The sequence below is a fragment of the Homo sapiens genome, chromosome 1, assembly GCF_000001405.40.
Source record: "Homo sapiens chromosome 1, GRCh38.p14 Primary Assembly".
Lineage (NCBI taxonomy): Eukaryota > Metazoa > Chordata > Mammalia > Primates > Hominidae > Homo > Homo sapiens.
In genome coordinates, this window is record NC_000001.11 from 30,643,563 (window position 1) to 30,649,562 (window position 6,000).

The window sequence follows — 6,000 nt, forward strand, 5'->3', positions numbered from 1 at the left end:
AGGACAATTTTTTATAACCCAGATGTAATGAAAACAATGACATTCTCTTTTGCAGGGGGGAATAACATTTTTCTTACTTGGGATTCAAATTTCGTTTCGCTTTTCCTGTTGTCCAATCAATTAAGAATGTTTGTGTATGAAAGCCATCCTTAGCTTGTGAGCTGAACGAAAGCACTCAGTGGCGCTAATTGGCCCACAGTCTGCAGCCGGACAATCCTTGCTCTAAAACATCAGGTTCTATGAGAACATTTCATGTCTCAATTGCTTGAGCCCCTGTTGTCGGGTTTTCTGTTGTACACTGCCCACACATTCTAATGGAAGTGCCTACTGTGTGCCAAGCACCCATCTCTCCTAAGATTCATGGCCATCTGACTACATGCCATGTCCCTGGGATCTGTCTATAGGGTCTTTATAACCCCAGAGCCCTATACAGATAATGATCCATGGTGAGCCCTAATCAACACGTGAATAATACGAATGAATCTGTGAATTAATTAATGAATGAACAAATAAATGAAGCACTTTGGGAACTGAAAAGTGCCAAGTCCACACACAGGGTTAGGCTCTGGCAGGTGGACACAGAGGTGCAGGGATCAGAGAAAATATAGAGGCAGCTCCCGGCCCACACCCCTCACCCTGGCTTCAGCAGGGATGAGGGTGCCATCATCCTCCCAGAGCTCCCTCCTGCTTTCACACACCTCAAGTCTGTAAGGACCCACCTGCTCCCTTGAGCCTCCTCTGTTCTTGCCGGCTTTGACAGCAAAGCACCTCCCTCCCTTTCCCAAACACTGAAAAACAAGGCTTTGTGCTCTGTCATTTTCCTTCTAAAAACTCGTCGTGAGAAACCAAATGGTCATCATTATGCCAGCTGCAATTCTTTGCTGTGTTATTTTCTAAGAGATGGAGGACAGGGCACCGGGAGAGGGTGCAGTTGGGAGAAGTGGGAAGAAACATTTCAGGGTGAATAGGCTTTAAAATTTCAACTCCAGGTTTCACAGGGAGACTGGATTAAAGAATCATTTCAAATGAATTTTGCCATCAGAGTGAGAGATATGTCTCACCAAAATGCTTTACTTTGACAGTTGGCTTCAAGAGGCTTGACAGAATTCATTTTTCCAGCAGACAAGAAGATCAAAGTATTAAACAAAATACATTCCACCGTGAGAACTCTGTTAGCCATTTGACATAATTGTGTTTCATCCAGAGTGTTTTGGCCTTATCGCTTCCCTTTCTTTTCTTACCTTCCTTCCTTTCTCCTCTCCTTCCTTCTTCCTCCCTCCTTTTCCTTTTCTTTTCTTTCTTTTTTTTTTTTTTTTTTTTTTGAGACAGAGTCTTGCTCTGTTGCCCAGGCTGGAGTCCAGTGGCGCGATGTCGGCTGACTGCAAGCTCCATCTCCCAAGTTCACGCCATTCTCCTGCCTCAGCCTCCCGAGTAGCTGGGACTACAGGCGCCCACCGCCACACCTGGCTAATTTTTTGTATTTTTAGTAGAGATGGGGTGTCACCATATTAGCCAGGATGGTCTCGATCTCCTGACCTCGTGATCCGCCCGCCTCGGCCTCTCAAACTGCTGGGATTACAGGTGTGAGCCACTGCACCCGGCCTCTTTTTTTTTTTTTAAGACAGAGTCTTACTCTGTCACCCATGCTGGAGTGCAATGGTGCAATCACAGTTAACAGCTACCTTGACCTCCCAGGCTCAAGCCATCCTCCCACCTCAGCCTCCCCAATAGCTGGGACTACAGGCACACACCACCACACCTGGCTAATTTTTCTATTTTATTTTTTGTAGCGTCGGGGTCTTCCTATGTTGCCCAAGCTGGTCTCCATCTCCTAGGTTGAAGCAATCCTCCCGCCTCAGCCTCCTCCCTTCTTTTCTTCTCCCTCCCTCTCTCTTTCCTTCTCTTCCTCCTTCCTCTCTCTCCCTTTCCACATGTTTATTAGGGGCCTCTTAGGGAACTGCCCGGTGCTGGGGAATGACTGTGAACAAGTGAGTTCACGAAGCTTACATCCTATAAGACTTATCTGAGAAAAAAAATCAGTATTTTGACAAGTACACTGAAGAATATAGCAAGGTGACAAGACAGAGTCCACCTGGGGACTGGGGTGGGATTAACAAAGCTGGTCACAAAAGGCCTTTCCGAGAGGGTAATATTGGAGCAGAGATCTGAAGGGTAGGTGTGTGCCCACCCCTCTGTGAAGCACAGAGGGAGAGCATTCCAGGCAGAGGCAACAGCTAATGTGCAGGCTCAGAGGCGAGAAAAAGCTCACCACCTGGAGGCAGGAGGTAGAGACCTCCTGGAGCTGGAGCATAGGACTTCAGAGGAGGGAGAAGGTCTGCTCAACTGAGGCATCCTGGAAGGCTTCCTGGAGGAGGTGTGATTCAAAGTTTGGTGGATTTCTGGGCGGGAGTGGGATTAGGCCTTGTGGGGAAGATACAAGGAGTCAGTGAGGGCGATGACTTCATACAGAGCACACAGCATGAGTGAGTATGAGGCATGTTTGAGTCACAGCAAGTGGTCAGGAGACAACACCACTCCAGACTGTGAGAGAAGGTGGGGACAAAAGTGATGAGGCTGGAAAGATGCTGGAGGCAAACTGTCAGGACCCTAAATGCCAGGCTAAAATCTTAAGACTACCAATGGGGTATCACTAGCGTTTTTGGAGAAAAGAAGGGATAAAATAGTAAGCCCTGTTTACTGAGCACATATTATGACCAGACATCAGCCGGGCATTTAACAGATATTTGCCACTCATTTTTATAAAGCCCAATTTACAGATAGGGAAACTAAGGCTGAGAGCAGTTATGCAACTCATTCAAAGTCACACACCAATGAGAGGTGAGGTACCTGGGTCTGTCTGACTCCAAGGCCCTCACTCCAAAATGATGACCACATGAGGGGAGGGGGTTGGAGGTGGAGTAAGGAACCCCTGGGGGTAGGGGGGTGCTAGAAGACAGCTCATTTTCTCCTGCTGTAACAGAATACCACAGATGGGGTAATTTATAAAAAACAGAAGTGTATTTGGCTGTCGGTTCTGGAGCTGGGAAGTCCAAGGGCACGGTGCTGCATCTGGCAAGGGTTCCTCCATGGTAGAAGACATTGGGTGGCAAGAAAGTGTGCATGAGACAGAGAAATGGGACCAAATTGATCCTTCTATCAGGAGCCCACTCCCTACATATTGGCATTAATCCACTCATGAGGGTAGAGCCCCTCATGACCTAAGGCCCCACCTCTCAGTAGTGGTATATTGGCACTTGAATGTGGACATGAATTTTGGAGAGGGCATTCCAATCATAGCACTAGATATCCAAGGAGGCATGACCAAGCCCCAGACACTGCAGGGCTGTGGGAGGGGAGGTGGGGAAAGGGTGGGGAGTGAAGGTGCTCATCAGCCTCAAGGGCCAGGAAAGCTCAACAGAGCAGAGCTGAGGATGGAACAGGCCTTGGGGAGCAGGTAGGGGTGGGGAAGGTATGGGCCACATTTCCCAGACACCAGAGCAGTTCTCTAATGGGCTGGGGGGCCTGGCTCCCCCTTCTGCTGAGCCACTGCCCAGGATCCCAGGAGGAAGCCAAGAGGAGGAAACTCGGGCTGCAGTTGACAAACTCTGCTCCTAATCACTTACTGATCCTCATTGGGACTAATTAACATTGCGTAAATGCTCACACTGGGTAATGGTGTATCTGATAAACAGTCTCAGGAGTGCTGAGGAGGCCCAGCAGTTACAGGGGGAAACAGGACCATCAAAAGCCCTAGGACATTGACATCGGGCAGGTCTGGGTTTGAATTCTGGGTGCAGCCAGTTCCTGAATCAATGCCTCCCCAGCCTGAGATTATGCTCTTGAGCAACTCCTTCCCCTTAGAGAGACCTGAGTGCTCTGTCCTTGTCAATTACTGGTACCACACATGACAGCCCTGCCCCAGCTTGTCACCTCACACCAGGGACATGGGGCCAGGATGGTGCACTGTGCCAGACTGGCTGTGGGCTCCCCAGAGCTCCTTGCCCACATTCTCACTCCTCAGGTTCATGGTTGAGAGCCCGACTGTGCAGCTGGATCTCCTGGGTTCAAACCCCAGTGATGTGTGACCGTGGACAAAGCATTCAACCCCTCTGTGCCCAGTCCCCTCATCTGCAAGTGGAGATGTGTTGGCTACTGCTATTGTCACCAATGCCTTCTTCCCCCTTCCTCCACCCCAGCTACCCTCACCCTCATCATCACCCCATCTCTGCCCACACCTCACTCCTGGATGCCTGGCCCCCTGTCTCGATGTGCAAGCTCATGGAGGCTTTGGGAGGAGACCCCAGGGATGGTTGTATTTCTCAGGGGCCCCAGAAACCTGAACAGCCTTTGAGGCCCACAAGGCTGTGTCCTCAGAGGGAGCAACTTCATCATCATGGCCTTTAGGGATAGATGACCCCACAGCTCCCATGCTGAGAAGCCTTCTCATTATGGTGCTTTTGGAGTAAGGATGAGGCAGTTACCAAGTACCCACAGGGCACCAAGTGATTGATCAGAGCAACTCTGGGAAGTGCAGCAATGATGCCCATTTCCCAGATGGAGAACGGAGGCTCCAGGAAGTAAAACGCCTACGAGGGTGATATTACTTGGATGTTGTCCCCTCTAAGTTGCATGTTGAATTGCAATCCCTAGTGTTGGAGGGCCTGGTGGGAGGGCTTTTGGCTTCACCCTGGAGAGAATTCAAGGGCCAGCCAGTGGTGTTAGACAGCAACTTTTATTGAAGCAGCAGTGTGCAGCAGCAGCATGCAGCAGCAGCAAAGGTACTGCTCCTCACAGAGCAGGGTTACCCTATAGGCAGTGTGCCCAGAGTAGCAGATCAAAGGCTGTTCTGTTGTCAGAACTCACTTTTAAATTATACCCAATTTTAATTATATGCAAATTAGGTGGCAGGTTATGCAAAAAATTCTAGGGAAAGGGTAACTTCCAGGTGTTGCCATGGAAATGGTAAACTGACATGGCACACTGGTGAGTGTGTCTTATGGAAAGCTGCTTCCTCCCCACACTTGTCTTAGATAGTCCTCAATTTGGTCCGGTGTCCAAGCCACACGACCAGAGTTGAGTCCCGCCTCTTGAGGCAAGCCCTGCCTCTTACCTCAATCGGATCACGGGGGTGGATTTCTCATGAATGGTTTAGCATAATCCCCTTGGTGCTGCCCCCACAATAGTAAATGATTTCTCATGAGATCTGGTTGTTTTAAAAGTGTATGGCACCCCTCTCTCTCTTGCTCCCACTCCTGCCATGTGACATGTCTGCTCCCGCTTCCCCTTCCGCCTTTAGTAAGTTCCCTGAGGCCACTCCCTGAGGCCTCCGCAGAAGCCAAGCAGATGCCAGCACCACGCTTCCTGTACAGCCTCCAGAACCATGAGCCAATTAAACCTCTTTTCTTTATAAATTACCCACTCTCAGGCATTTCTTTATAGCAACACAAGACCAGCCTAACACACAAGGTGGCACGAAGAGTAAGCAACTGAGTAAGGATTTGACCTCAGTCTGCCTGACTCTAAATTCTAGATTCCACTGCACCATATGGAGGACTTCTGGGTGACTTTTATGTGTTCAGCTCCAGGCTGGGCATCAGGGCACCGCAAAGATAAGGCAACCATGGGAATGTGAGCACCATGAAGCCTGGGACCACCCCATTCCTGGTACAGGGAAGTTCCAAGTGTCTGACCACGCCAAGCCGCCTCCCTTACCCTCTCTGGAGCCCATCATGAGGATAGTTGCCTGGGTCCATCGCATGGCACCTGGAGCTGACAAAGCCCCTGCCTGAGCCCCGCAGCATATCCCAGTTCAAACAACTGCTCCCACAGGAGCCGTGATGGGGCCCAGCAGACACAGCTGATCCTGGAACACACAGACACTCACAAGGCCCCCAAGCGACATGGGAAGGTTTCCACCCCACTGGCATGACCAGCACAACCACTCCACAGGATCCTTTCATTGGACGGCCGTGAGGTCCAGGACTCCCCGGCCACCCTGCC